This window comes from Homo sapiens, chromosome 14, assembly GCF_000001405.40.
Source record: "Homo sapiens chromosome 14, GRCh38.p14 Primary Assembly".
NCBI lineage: Eukaryota > Metazoa > Chordata > Mammalia > Primates > Hominidae > Homo > Homo sapiens.
The window spans coordinates 54,726,722-54,740,546 of NC_000014.9; the positions used below are offsets into that span (position 1 = coordinate 54,726,722).

The following is a 13,825-nucleotide window of genomic DNA, read 5'->3' on the forward strand; positions in this document are numbered from 1 at the left end:
GGATTCTCAGTGACTTATTCTGGAATGGGACCTGGGCATCGGGGTTTTTTTTTTAAAAGGCTCAAAGGAAGTTAAGTGTACAGCCAAGGTTGAGAACCACCGGTCTAGGAGAAAACTGTGGTAGGTCACAAGATGGAAGGTGGAGTGAAGAGTTTGTATTTACGTGTACAGATAGTCTATTACTCATTCAGGGTAACTGCATTCTATAAAGTTGTTGTGAACACTGAATTATTGAATATTGAATGATTGCTTCTAGAGAAAATACAGGGCTAGGTTCGGTCACATTTTTGTCAACTTATCAATACATAATGTTGTTTTATGTGTGTTTCTGTTTAAAGATAGTTTATTTAATGTATATTATTGATTAATTAATGTTGAACTCACAACAAAGAACACTGTAATTCATACCTGAATGAAGCTTATCACAACAGCCTTCTTTTTTTCCTTTTTTTTTTTTTTTTTTTTTTTTTTTTTTTTTTTTTTTTTGAGGTGGAGTCTCACTCTGTTGCACAGCCTGGAGTGCAGTGGCACGATCTCGGCTTACTGCAACCTCTGTCTCCTGGGCTCAAGCAATTCTCCTGCCTCAGCCCCCCGAGTAGCTAGGATTACAGGCATGCAACACCATGCCTGGCTAATTTTTGTATTTTTAGTAGAGACAGGGTTTCACCATGTTAGCCAGTCTGTGTCCAACTCCTGACCTCAGGTGATCCACCCGCCTCGGCCTCCCAAAGTGCTGGGATTACAGGGGTGAGCCACCACACCCAGCCTTGGGGGCCATTTTAAATGGTGAAATTGTCAACAGAAAGCACAACAATGTGAAAAATATGGCACTAAATAGACCACAAAAAGGACACTTGTTTATAGTAGAGAGCTGAAACAAGAAAGCAGCGCTTCACTTTGCTCCACCTTAGCTGGGAGCAAGTGCATGGGGAGACTTGAATTTTTGGCTACTGTATTTGTGTCTGTGTATGACCATGAAAAGGCCACGAGTATTGACTCAGGTTCCAAATGAATTTTAGCAATATGTGAGTTTACAAATATAGAATCCATGAATAATGAGGGTCAATGGTATATAGACATGTAGATGAACACGCACGCGCACACACACACAGACACACACGCACTACCTAGTTTGTATAACAGGTGAGGGGGAACCAGCAGTAAACAGGAGCAAAGGGAGCCCAGCCTCTGGATCTGAGCTGGCATCTGGGCTCAGCCCAGCCCTCCTGATCACCCTCACAGCCTGTTCTTTTTGCTGCTGGGGTCTGTAGCTCCAGACAGCCCTCTCCATTTCATATCCAATAAGAAATGAATGCTGTTCAATTCCTGTCCTTAAGCTGGAACGGTCCTGGGCGCTGAATTATGCCAGGAACCTCGAGCTTGCTGTGTCTCTGGAAGTCTTTTATTGCACAACTGATTTATAATACCCAAGTAGATGAGTTGAGAGCAATTACGTAAATGCTGTTTCTCTGGGGCAGAGAAGAACGGTACGGTTTAAATGAAAAATGCAGTGCCAAGTCAAAAATTCAAATCGTTATGTATAATTACAGACCACAGTAAATCAATTTTACAAACACAGTACCAATCTCACCATGTTCCAACACCCACAGGGTAAGGTTGTGATGGTTTAGAATTTGGTAAGAGGCTGAAGGTGAAGTGAAAGTGGGAATTGGGGTGTTGTGGAGCCTCCAGAGCTTGTCTGAATCACATGGCGATTCAATCAAATATAATTAAGGAGCCAGGAGAGCCTAAACCATCCAATTTCTCCTAATTAACAACAAAAAAATCATCTAATTAGTAGTGTAAACTCAAATTCTGGTTTTTTTTTTGAATGGTCATTTATGTGTATTGTTGCATTTGACATGTAGATTGAATGCTTTAATGAAAACAAGAACCAATTCCCTAATCAGTAAATTGCCCTCCTCACTGCCATGCTGAGAATCTGCTGTTCTCCTCCTTTTATCAAGGAGCTAAGTTAAGAATTAGTCAGGGCTACATAATACATTTCTAATTATTTACAGCCCTTCTCCTGAAACTAGAAAGAAAAGAAAAAAATACTGTTTGATCAAGGCAGAGTTTAGGGTTTCATACTCAGAGAAATCCTAGTCATGCATGTGGCTGCAAGGCTCTGCTGGCCGTAGGATTTAGGCATCCTCTGATGATGCCTGTCCTTACCTGATCAGTGAGAGCCACTGTTCCATGTTATCTGGGAGCCTTTAAGCTTCAGTGGCAGTGAAGGAAGACCTGGCCTGCGGTTCAGCTCAAGACAGGAGTTAGTAGACACAGTTTTAAAATATCCTTTGGTACCTCCATTCAAGCAATTGACTCACTGCTCTTCTTGACAAGTGCTGGTAGCAACAAGGTGTAAAAGGACACCCTGATGATTTGTTCAGCGACTCTGGCCATCTCCTTGGGACTGATGCTCTGAGAGGGTCTTGGTGGCTCAGTCATGAAATCCTGGCTATTTGAAGTTCCAAACTTGGATGGTCTTGCTGGTTCCCACACTCAGTAGCAGTCTAGGTGGTGCCGTTAAGCGCGGGATGGATGCTGTATTGCATAAACCTCAGAAGCACTTTCTGCATAGGCATGTGAGCTGATGAAACAGCACTTACAATTTGAGAGTTATCTTTTAAGAAAAGGGTAGGAGGCAAGTTTTTGTCATCTAGCTTCCTGAGTTTCTCTACTATCTCGCTTCTCTACACACAGTGACTGGAGCATTTTTACAGATACGTGGGAACATTAAAAAAGAAATATCGGCTTAAATTCACTCCTGGCCACTTGCTTAACTCCATTATTTTCCCTACTTGGTGAAATAATAAAATTCTACAGTTCTGTCTAAACTCATTTCTAGAAATATCTTCATTTTATGTGGATAGAAATTCATGGACAAACTTAAGGGTTTAGTATAATGGTAGATACAAAAAGAAACAGTACAGGAAAGTAGAAGTTAACCCAGTATGAAGGAGACTTCAAAATAGCCAGGTTGATCCCATCGTTTCTTGAATTAGCCTACACATTTGCTTCAAAGGTGGAAAATTGCTTTCATAGTTGATGGAAGTTGTCATTGGTTTTGATAGGATGGAATGAGAGGATTGAGGTAGTGTCCTTTTAGGATTTCTTGATTTGAAGCTAAGTGTGGATGAAATTTACTGATTTCTATTTAAAGTATATACATATTGGCTTCTTGTCTAGGTATTTCATAAATAATGACAATGTAAAGTCAAACAGCCGTTATCTAAAATAGATTTTCTACTGGATGACACCCAGTTTTGCCATTATAGAGGCTGACAAAAGAGGACAGATGAAATATACCAAAGATTAGTGCAATAATAAAAGTCTGCCAGAAGCATTCTAATTTATTTCTTAAAAGCTCAAATGTTTAAGTGATAATGTGAAGGCAGAAACATACATCTTTGCTCTGCCCAAAAACTGAGCCATCTGTAGAGTAGTAAGAGCTGACACCAGTGACAAGGACTCACGGTACTAGGAAAGCCTCCCCATGTGCTTTTCCCTGCATCAGAATGCTTTCATTTCAGTGCTGAATAAAAACGAGATGTCATGGGGGAAAGAGGAAGTTAGCTGTGTGTATTTGTCATCCCTGTTGTGATGTTCTTTGCAGCTTTTTCTTCTTCTAGAGTCTCCCTTTGGTCTGATTTGCATAGGCAAGTATACACTTTCTTTTCACCGAAAGTGTGTGGCTTCCTCCTTGGGCTTGTCAGGAACATCCCGTCCACCAACCACATCTTTGCTTTGTAGCATGTTCTCTCTTCTTCCCCCGGAATGAGGTGGAGTCCAAAGTCTGTTTAGGGGAATCGTCTTCTGGTGTCCAGATGTTCTAAGCACTGGTTTTTCAAGCCTTTGGTCAAGAAGCAGAGAGCAAGCATGCAGAGTTGAGGCTTTTAACCTTTCAGATTGGCTTTTAATCTATTCCCTGAAGCAGTGATGACAGAGCATGTTATTTTTAACCTTAGTGATTAATATTCCCCTCTCTTCCTCTCCCTTCTACCCCACTTACACAAATCTGGTGTTATTTTTTTTGTTGTTTGTTTGCATGATGTCACTGATCAAATACTCTGGTTTTGTATGTTTCAAAATGTATTCTTGAAGTACTATTAATCTTTTCTTCTCCAAAGATTCCCACCACAGGGCTTCAGATTACTGGTTGTGACACCACAAAACCAACTAAAGAAGAGGAATCCAGGGTGTAATATCATTTCACCACTGAGCCTTGCTTAAAATGTTGACTTTTTTAAAGCAAATGCCTGGAATTATTTATACAAGTGGTGTTAGCAGAACATTCTTTGAAAATTGAAAGCCTTTAGTGGTTCTTAGATGCTCTGAAACTGGTGTTATCGAAAAAATTTGTGGGATAGAAACTGGAATATCCCTGAGAAGCAGGCCGAAACCTAACAAAATGAACAGAAACACCCAACCCTTCCCAATTCCTTTGAAACAATCACCTTTTTGTAGCTAGCAGTGGGCTGAGCTTTTTCTTCTTTAGACTTGATAAGTATCAAACTATCTCCTGCAGCAAAACTTAAGAATTATATGCTGTGAAGCCTCAAATTTTTGTTTTCAGCAAAGGTTCTAGTGATACTTCTGAATTTCTTTGGGGAATGAGCCTAGAAAATATTGTTAAAGTAACAGATGAGTAAAATTAGCAACATAGAAGTAAAATTCTGCCCTGCTTTGTCCTAAGTATGTGGACACACAGCATACATCACCTGAGTCACAGGGAATTGGCCAGGACCTCTTAATTCAAGAAGAATATTGTAAGATATTTTAAAATAATGTGCAAACACTTGGCATCCTCATTCTACCTTTTAAAACCCCTAAATTGCTATGACTTATTTTTATAAGGTTTAGTTGTGCTAGCTATTTGGATTGAATTATATCATGTGAGCATCTTGAAATTTGAAAATTTAATGAAGCGTATGTTTTTCTATGAGAAAGGCAGCTTCTTGAATTAAAAATGAAGAGAGACTAGCTTAGAAGGAAAAAAGATTAAAGTTGCAAATCATCTCTATGTGGCTGGACTCATAGGGCATGATGAGAGCACAGAACCCAACCTTGGGTTGAGAACCCAGGGAATTTGGTTTGGTATAGAGAATGATATTAGGAGTGTAGGAATATTTAATGCCCTTATTCAAAAGGAAGTCAAATTTCTGACAGTTTCAGCAGCTTCAGCTTCTAGACTCTAAAACAAAATGCTAAGCCTGGAAATAGTTCAAAACACATAGTGACAGCAAAAAGAAATAATGGTTGGCTTGAATTTGAGGAGATAGTTGAACAATTGAAGGTATACAGCACACAGGTTCCTGAGGCTACCCAGACTGCCCATTGAAGGCTCACTCAACAAAGACGGCATAAAGCAACAAATCATCTCTGTCAAATGAGTGTGCTAGACCAAGAGTACACATGAACGGTGTAAGTTAATAGCTAATATTTAAAAATCGGGGTCCCCATTAAAACCACAATTGTATTTCAAATCTGCTGATTTTTTTAAAAAAGACGAAAGGTCTATGTACTCAGCATAGGTTTAATTTACATTATATTAATTTGTTGTATTAATTCCAATACCCTCTCTATATGTAGAAAAGTCATCCATGACATAGTATTTCATCCACTAACAAGGCTTGGTGTACGTAGGGATTTTGGGGTCTTTCTACTACCCAGAGACCCACAGCTCCCAGATTAGGCATTACTAAATTATATTCTTTCAGAAGGCTTCCAGTTCTAAAATGTTAGGAATATATGTTCATAACATTTTTAAAGCATGCTTTAAATAATTTTTAAATCATTTAATTTATTATAAATTATTAAAAATTATGCTTTAAATAATTTTTAAAGCATAAACTGCATTCAGCGTGTAAATTTAAAGATAGCAGAGAAATACGCAATGTATCTTTGACAAATCTTTGTTAAAGTTTGTTGGGATAAAGTTTTGGTGTAAGACTCAAGCTTCAGTTATCTGGACTATTTGCTTATGTGGATCACTTTTCTCCTTGACAGTGAGGTATGTATTTAACCTAACAATGAACCAAGGAGATAGTTGGGCCAGTATCCCAGACTTTCTTCCATCCATAAACCCCCTTATTTCTCATATTAGAAGGCAGAAAAAAGGTAGTTATAGTTAATTTTCCTTAAAGAGTACTAAATATTCTGAAACATCTTTTCCTGACTCTTATTTCAATAAATAAAATCGAGATGGAGTCAAAGTTGGTCAAAGGAAATGGGAAAGAAATCTGAATCCCAGGGTTTAAAGAAAATACTTAAATGAACAGAATGCAGAGCCAGGTGTCATATTTTCCCCGTAAAAGGTGCTGAAAGAGTTCTCATTAAAGATGCTAGGAGATGAAAAAATCATTAGGTTAGATGAGGTCAGAAGAGTTGACTGGTCCTGATAGTATGACCAAGTTTAAAACAAGATTATAAGAACCTCTGAACTCCCATCACACTGCCCGACTGCTGTAGCAAGATTACTTTTAACTGCTGTTTCCATATTTCAACTAGACTTACCTAATACTTATTATTTACTTCGGATTCATTTGAATTTAAAAAGTTCCAAAAATTAGTGTCCTAATGATATATGCATGCGTGCATACTGGCATATATATGTGTATATACGGATCTAAAATTTTTATAGAGGTTTTTAAAAATACAAGCAATTTTGGATTCATACTGTATACAATTATTAAATGTTGGTTTCCATGTTTTAAGAGGAAAAAGGCACAATTTTGTTCCCCTGAGTAATTTTCAGTATGCTTTTCAATATAATGAATCCATCCTGAAATATGCTGTCCCTCTACCCACACTATTATGAAAGTCACAAATGCAGTATAAATTGAGGACCTCAGTTCTGCTGGACTTGCCAATTTCTAATCTAGGTTGAGATTTTTTTTTAAAGGTATACTTAATTTGGCAGCATTTGAATAGGACTTCTGGGTAGCTGAGGTCTGAATGAACCGTTAGCCATTGTCTGCTGCACATCAGTCTACAAGCAAGAACATCTAGAAGCCTCTGGCTAGAGACATGCTGGGGCAGCTAGCACCACACTGCTAAGCTTCTCAGAAGTCTGTATTTACTACTCTTCCTGCCTACTCATAGGAAAAAAAAAAAACTTCTGCCCGAATGTCCATATGACCCTCTGTTTGTCATCACTTCAAATGAGATCTCTTAGTTTAAAAAGGGGAGGGGCTGGGGATGAAACAACCACTGCTACTCTGCCACTGGCCCCCTCGTCAATTCCACAACTGCATGGCCTATTTTCTTGTAGCCTCTTTCTGCCCATGACAGTATTTCCTCTGTCACTTTATGCCAAACAAAGTGCTCCAGCACAAGAGGTAACACCAAAATCAGCTTTGTGGTCACCATTGCCTAAACCTGAAGATCTGTCTTCACCCCAAATTGGCACTGTCGCCAAGGCACCTGTCACCTGTTTTAATCTCCTTCCCACAAGAATACAAGCCTGTACTGCCTCCAGGCCTTGGTTCCTTTGGAGAACAGAGGCATTTACCTAGCACGACTTTTGATTGAGGTGTGGCATTCAGCCTGGCTCTAAACCCACGGCCCTGTCTGCAAATCAGAAGCTTGGTGTGAGGCACTGTGCTTGGTTGCCACAGCACGTTGGCTCCTACGGAGATATTCCTGAATTTGGTGGCAGCAGTGGGAACCAAGAAGTGTTCATTATGATATAGAGTGTATGAGCCCTTTATAGAAAGTCATCAGGAAAAGACCCTGGCACCTCAGGTATAATTGATGTTTCCTTAGAGGCAGAGGCCAAGTTCATGTCATATCCCTTATGACTTCAGTTAAGCTCAGAAAAGTATGAAGAAATGGGTGTGGGTTTCTATGTACAAATCCCTGTAAGTCCATTAAGTTAGGTAAACATTTAGCTCCAATCTCAATAGCCAGTGAAGTCCTTGGATAACTGACAGCTTCCCCAAGGATGCCTCTCAGTGGAGGAGATAGCATGGATTAAAAAATCAGATGGAAAGAAGCATATTGGCTCCATGAAATAATGGAATTCAAGTACAGTGTACGTATTGTATTGTTCTCAGCATCCATGTGAAGATGAGGACTATCCTAGCAGTAACCTCCCGTGGTTAGCGATTAGTTACCTATTCAGTTATGGCCTCTAACCAGCCCAGGTACTAAGAGTCCCACTGTCTCTGAGCTGTGTGTCCCTCTTTGACAAGCCCTGTTTCTGTGATTTCAGACTGACTCTAATCCTGGCTATACAGAGGAACCCCCACTTCCACTTGGGGTACACCTGGCAGGCACCAGTCAAAGCATCCACCAGATAGTCTGAAACGGTTGCAGAAGTACCAGAAAGCAAAGATGTCTAAGCTGGAATGTCCCAGCACTCAGGGCAGCCGTAAACAGTCTGCCCAATTTTATATAAATACTTAGACAGGCATGAAATGGATTTTCTGGATGTCTGGCTTTTCTTCCTATTGGCTTCTCTTTTCATTTTTGCTGCCGCTTCGTTTTTTTTTTTTTCTTTCTCTGCTTTCCCCCCACTTTTCCTCTTGCTAATTCTGGTCCAACCAGGTAGCAATGCATTTTCCAGGGAGCCTTTTTAAATAGTTTCTTCCCGAGTCTATTTAGTAGCAATGCAAGCCATTTAAGCCTGTTAGTGTCGATATTTTTTAAACAATGTTCCCTTTGCATATTTTTAATTTAGATGACATTTCCTTGCCTTTGATAGAATCTACCCAAATTGGAAATTTCTCAGGTTACTAATACTAAACTCGGTAGCTCTCTTTTGTCCTCCCTTTTCATTCATAAAGAAGTTTCTAGCCCTTCCGATTGTCCCCACTTCACATACAAGGCTGCCCTTCTGGCCACACAAGGCCAAATGGAAACACTGACCACAGAGGCCTGAGCTCCGTGGCTCTCAGGCTTGGTGACTGCCAGCTGCCTGGCAGCAGCTTACCCAGCCCACTACTGCCCCAGACACACTTTCTGGAAACATCCAGCCTTTTGACTCTGCTCTTTATCTTTTGAAGTAGGGAACACAGTAATCTGCCCAGGCCTTTATGTTGGGACTGCTCTACCAGAAATATGGTTTAACCAAAAGCAGGACCTCTCACCATTGAGATGCCTGGTCTGCTTACTGAAAAACACAGATTAACACCCACAAAGAAGTGCTCATCTAAATTTGGGAGAGCAAATGCCTCATGGATGGGGATACAGCCTGAGATGGAATTTAATGGCTTCCCTGAAAAATGTTTAAAAATGCATGTGGCTCAATTCCGTGTTAGTACAGCAGCAGTCAAAATAAACTGGACCTGTCAGGAACTGGTGCTGAGAGAATGTTATGAATAGACTTATTTTGTAAAGTTGTCACTTTACACACCAGAAAAACCAACCAAGGGTAACATCGGCTCCTTCAGTGTTGGTTTTTGTTAAATCCCTCCCTCGAATGACTTCAATTTAATTTGGCTAGTTATATGAGTTATGTTGCTTTTTCCTAGTTTTCTGGAAAAGAAATTAAAGATGGGGGCTGCGCAGATGTTGCCCACTGTGTAGAAGGGCTGAACATGCTGGTAAAAACCATTCATTCCCAGCTTCCTGAATGAAAGCCTTGTTACCTGGAAGTGTTTGCAATACAAAGTTTGGCATTAACCTGTGAGGCTAAGGGAAAGAATCGGCCCTAGAAGAAGCAGCCCTTTCACCGACAGGTAGCTGCAGTGCCCCATACCCTGAGGTCATGTTAGTACTGGGGCCCTTGCTGAGCCATACCACCCTGCAGAGGCCATAGTTCCCTGAATCCTGGTTGGAAAGATTAGTCCACCTTCTTCTGGTTCAGCCCTGCAAAGATCCCAAACAATGGCCAGCCCGGCTGCCCTTCAAGATGTCCTCCTGAACAACATGGGTAATGTCAGAATTTCTGTTTAAAAAACAACAGCAACAAACTTGTCCAGTACATGTTCTTTTTGCTTTTGGCAGATATGGCTGTCAAGCCTTGCCTGATTTACGGACCCCGTCCTATGAATCCTGATTTCTAGAGTTAGAACCAAAACCAGATCCAGACCCACAAAGGCTAAGGACCAATGTGTGGGCACTATAGGTTTGGCCTCCTTGGAGAAACCTAACCCACTGAGAGGGACAGACTGCATCCTTTTAAACCACCTGAAGAAAACGACCATGCCAGGCCTGTATTCAACCTGCTGTGACCATGGATGGAGTTGTAAGACAGTTAGTGGTATCTCTCAGGGTTAAGAGGTATTGTGGGTTCTTCGGTGTCCCAGGATAAAGGGGGGGGAATAACCTATTTCATTTTATTTTTTTTTCCAGTTCTCTCAGGCCAGGCACACCACAGCCCTTTGAAACGATCTGTGTCCCTTACCCCACCCATGAATGTGCCAAACCAGCCTCTAGGACATGGATGGATGTCTCATGAGGACTTACGAGCTAGAGGACCCCAGTGCCTCCCATCCGATCATGCCCCCCTGTCTCCACAAAGCAGTGTAGCCTCTTCAGGAAGTGGTGGGAGTGAACACTTAGAAGATCAGACCACTGCTCGTAACACATTCCAAGAAGAAGGTAGTGGGATGAAAGGTGAGTGACTAAATGAGAAACCACTGGGGAAAGAGCCCCTCCCTTTATTGGAGACCAGAGGGTAAAAAAAGAGAGGTAGTCAGCAAGAGAGAAGGAGCCCACCCCTTCCCCAGGCTTACGCATTTGATCTGTCCCTTCCAGAACTCCAGGTTGACCATGGCAGAAAGGGCTCAGATTCCCCTTCCAGTGCTTCTTGCCAAAATCTGGGAAATAGGAACCAGAGTAAGAGAGGTCAACCCACTCTCTCTCTCTCTCTTTTTTTTTTTTTTTTTTTGCATTGCAGTGACTTGTAGACCATTAAATGAGTCACAGCTAATGGTGATAGGATCTTCTGTTTGTAAAGCTACTGAGCTGCTCCAACCTTGTACCTCATTGCTGTGGCCAGGGACCTGTCAGTAATTCAGAAAAACAAACCACGGGATTTTTTTTTTTCCTTTATAAGTCTATGTTAATGCAGAATTGCAGTAGTGCTTCCTTTCTCTCTCCTCTTCTCTTTGATATCCAAAGAAACCTTTAAACCCTTTCCTCTGCATCTATTTAAGGGACATGAAAATACCACTGAGAATCTCTAACAGTGTTTTAATCCTGATAACAGATTTGCATACAGGTGATAAAGGCCTTTTGTGTAGCATAAATAAATTCCTCCATTGCCTTGTGAATCTACCCTCTTCTAAAAGATATTCATCAGGAGATAGATTTCCAAATTACTTATGATAGGTACAAAGAGGATACGTGCATGCTATATTTTTAGACTCCACTTGTACAAGGGCTGGGAAGCCCTTAGGCAAAGATGCACATTCAGAGACACACTAGTAACAATTTTAGATGGTGAAACAGTAACCACTCATGCTTTGGGGACTAGCATGCTGAAGGGAGGCTCTGAGAACATCCTGTTTGCTGGCATTAATAGTCCTGAGGTTTGCTGTTTCCGATCTTCCCCTTGTGAATGATCAGTGTTGACATAGGAAGCTCTGTACTGATTCCCCTCCCTTCACGGAAGCCTGGCACAGAAAGCATGCCCATGACTGCCCAACCACTGGTTATAAGGGAGCACCGGACTGAAAAAATGGAGCTTGTCAACTCTGGGAATGAGGCTGACAAGAAGCTGCTCCCCTGGCACATTCCTTGAATCTTCCTCCTGCTTAGGCCTGTGTCCTCTCCATCCCACCCCCATTTCATTGATGGTTCCAGGGCTGAGTGCCCAGAGTGAGGGGATGTGTCTTAATGCTGATACAAATGGGTCTTTAAAGGTATATAACAGGCAGCAAAAGCCATGTGTCACTTGGGTACGAAGGGGATGTATGTCCTCTTTCTACTTCAGAGTTTTCAGGGGACTGTATCACAATTTTGGAGCACTAGCAAAACCCACTTCTGACTTTATGCTACATGGTTATGTGTTTAAGCAGCTGAGCCCCAGGTGATGCGTAGCAGGTGAGGCTCAACCCTGCTGTAGGTAGACTGGCTTGGCATCTGTCAATCGGCATCAAAATAGCTGAAAGACCAAGGGAGGCTGAGACAGCCGTTGCTTTTAACTAGCTTCTTTCCAGGTGAAGTTCAGTGTCTGTTTCCAAGAAAGCCTGTGTTGCGGTTCTAGTTGGTAACTGTGGGGAGGAAGCATTGGCCTTTGTGTTTGAAGGGTAAGGAGGATCCTATAGAAGGGCCATTCACCAGGAGAAAGATCTTGTCCAAAGAAGAATGCTGATTCCACTGTCTGGTTTTTGGACACTTATTCTTCTTCCTTTTACTTTGTTTTCTTTCTTTCCTTTTCTTTTTTTTTTTTTTTTTTTGAGGCCCTTATGCACACTTTCAACATTCTCCCAAAGTAGGTCAAGGTATGCTCATTGAGTGCTGCCATTTTGAGGTGAGAAATAAAGATAACAGGTTTTTTAAGAGAAATGAGAGAAAAGTTGAATAAATGCCCTATCCCCATTTTGGGACAAAAGCCAAAATATTGCAAAGGTTAAGGAATATACCATATCTAAGCCTCTGTGATTCCTTTCATTAGAATTGGTGAGAACTGTCTCCTCAGAGCCTATTCAGTCAGAAAAAAATGGCACAGACAAGATCTCATATCCAGGATTTTCTTTATAGGCCCAAGGGGTGCAGCCAGAAAACAGGTTATTTGATGGCCTGCTGTATTTCCACCTTCTCTGACCTATTGAACTTCCCTTCTTCCAAGAACTTCCTTGGATTGGGATTCCAAGTATAAAGTCAATAGCAAGTTAAATGGCAAAAAAAAAAAAAAAAGTTTGAAGGAAGAAACATTATAGATGATGAAGGATTCTATTTGTGGGAAAAGTATATTTGCAGTTTAGCTGACAGGTCAGACAGAAAAAATGTCCACACCCAAAAACACTAGCATTCCGAAGTGTCACGGGCCAGTATTTGTTCAATAGAAATGTCCCTCCCCAGCCTTGCTGCAAGATGCCATTGCTGAGGACTCTTCCGCCACCAGATGTTATTCAAAACGACTTCCTATGAGTGCACCCAAGGAGCAGCCCTGCTCCTAACCCAAGGGTTTGTCATTTGATCTCCGTGTCTAAGAGCAGGTGCTGGTTTAAATTTTCAAAATAATTCACACTTTTAAAGAAATGAGATATGGCTGGGTGCGGTGGCTCACGCCTGTAATCCCAACACTTTGGAAGGCTGAGGCAGGCAGATTGCTTGAGGTCAGGAATTCGAGACCAGCCTGGCCAACATGGCAGAACCCTTTCTCCACTAAAAATACAAAAATTAGTCAGGTGTGGTGGCACGCAGCTGTAATCTCAGCTACTCTGGAGGCTGAAACTGGAGAATCACTTGAACCCAGGAGATAGAGGTTGCAGTGAGCCAAGATCGCGCCACTGCACTCCAGCCTGGGCAACAGAGTGAGTGAGACTCCATCTCAAATAAAAACATAAAAAATAAAAATAAATAAATGAGATATAAAACCAAGTGAGGTGCTTTGAAAAAGAGCTGACTCTTCCTCTTGGCTCTACAATCTTTCTTTTCTATGACCCAGGCCCTTTGGCAGGAGTGTCAGCTGTTTTAAAGTACTTGCTGGTCCACTTTGGGGTGCCATCATCTAATGCTATTATTCTAATCGTTAAACGTCCAGTTTAGAAGAACAATAAGAAAGCTTAGTAGAATTTGGAAGAGTTCTCAAATCCATATGGAATGTGTCTTGCTCTCATCGTGCACCTTGGGAAAAGAATGAAAAGTTACTATAGTTGAACTTTATTTAGTGTGAATTCCTCTTTATGGCCAACAGCTGTGAATA

The 13,825-nt window shown here is 41.3% G+C and overlaps 1 protein-coding gene across 16 annotated transcripts in view, besides 3 other annotated features; it reads left to right on the plus strand.

The window, feature by feature from the left end:
• The window catches only part of SAMD4A (sterile alpha motif domain containing 4A), a 228,000-nt gene that overhangs the window by 161,406 nt on the left and 52,769 nt on the right, over nucleotides 1–13,825 (plus strand). For 9 of the 16 annotated variants that reach the window (XM_047431137.1, XM_047431136.1, XM_024449516.2 and 6 more), the window contains exon 4: nucleotides 10,303–10,566. The exons of the other annotated variants lie outside the window; for them this stretch is intronic. In XM_047431137.1, coding sequence (XP_047287093.1) covers nucleotides 10,303–10,566 — 264 coding nt within the window. The remainder of the gene's footprint in view (nucleotides 1–10,302; nucleotides 10,567–13,825) is intronic. 16 annotated transcript variants of the gene reach the window in all.
• Nucleotides 3,650–3,944: a silencer, noted in NCBI's record as "tiled region #12509; HepG2 Repressive non-DNase unmatched - State 15:Elon". NCBI's record gives its function as "represses a minimal TATA promoter and a strong SV40 promoter by Sharpr-MPRA in HepG2 cells {active_cell/tissue: HepG2}" and the evidence as "EXISTENCE:reporter gene assay evidence [ECO:0000049][PMID:27701403]".
• Nucleotides 3,731–3,850: an enhancer, noted in NCBI's record as "active region_8415". NCBI's record gives its function as "activates an Ori minimal core promoter by ATAC-STARR-seq in GM12878 lymphoblastoid cells {active_cell/tissue: GM12878}" and the evidence as "EXISTENCE:reporter gene assay evidence [ECO:0000049][PMID:35858748]".
• Nucleotides 3,951–4,030: an enhancer, noted in NCBI's record as "active region_8416". NCBI's record gives its function as "activates an Ori minimal core promoter by ATAC-STARR-seq in GM12878 lymphoblastoid cells {active_cell/tissue: GM12878}" and the evidence as "EXISTENCE:reporter gene assay evidence [ECO:0000049][PMID:35858748]".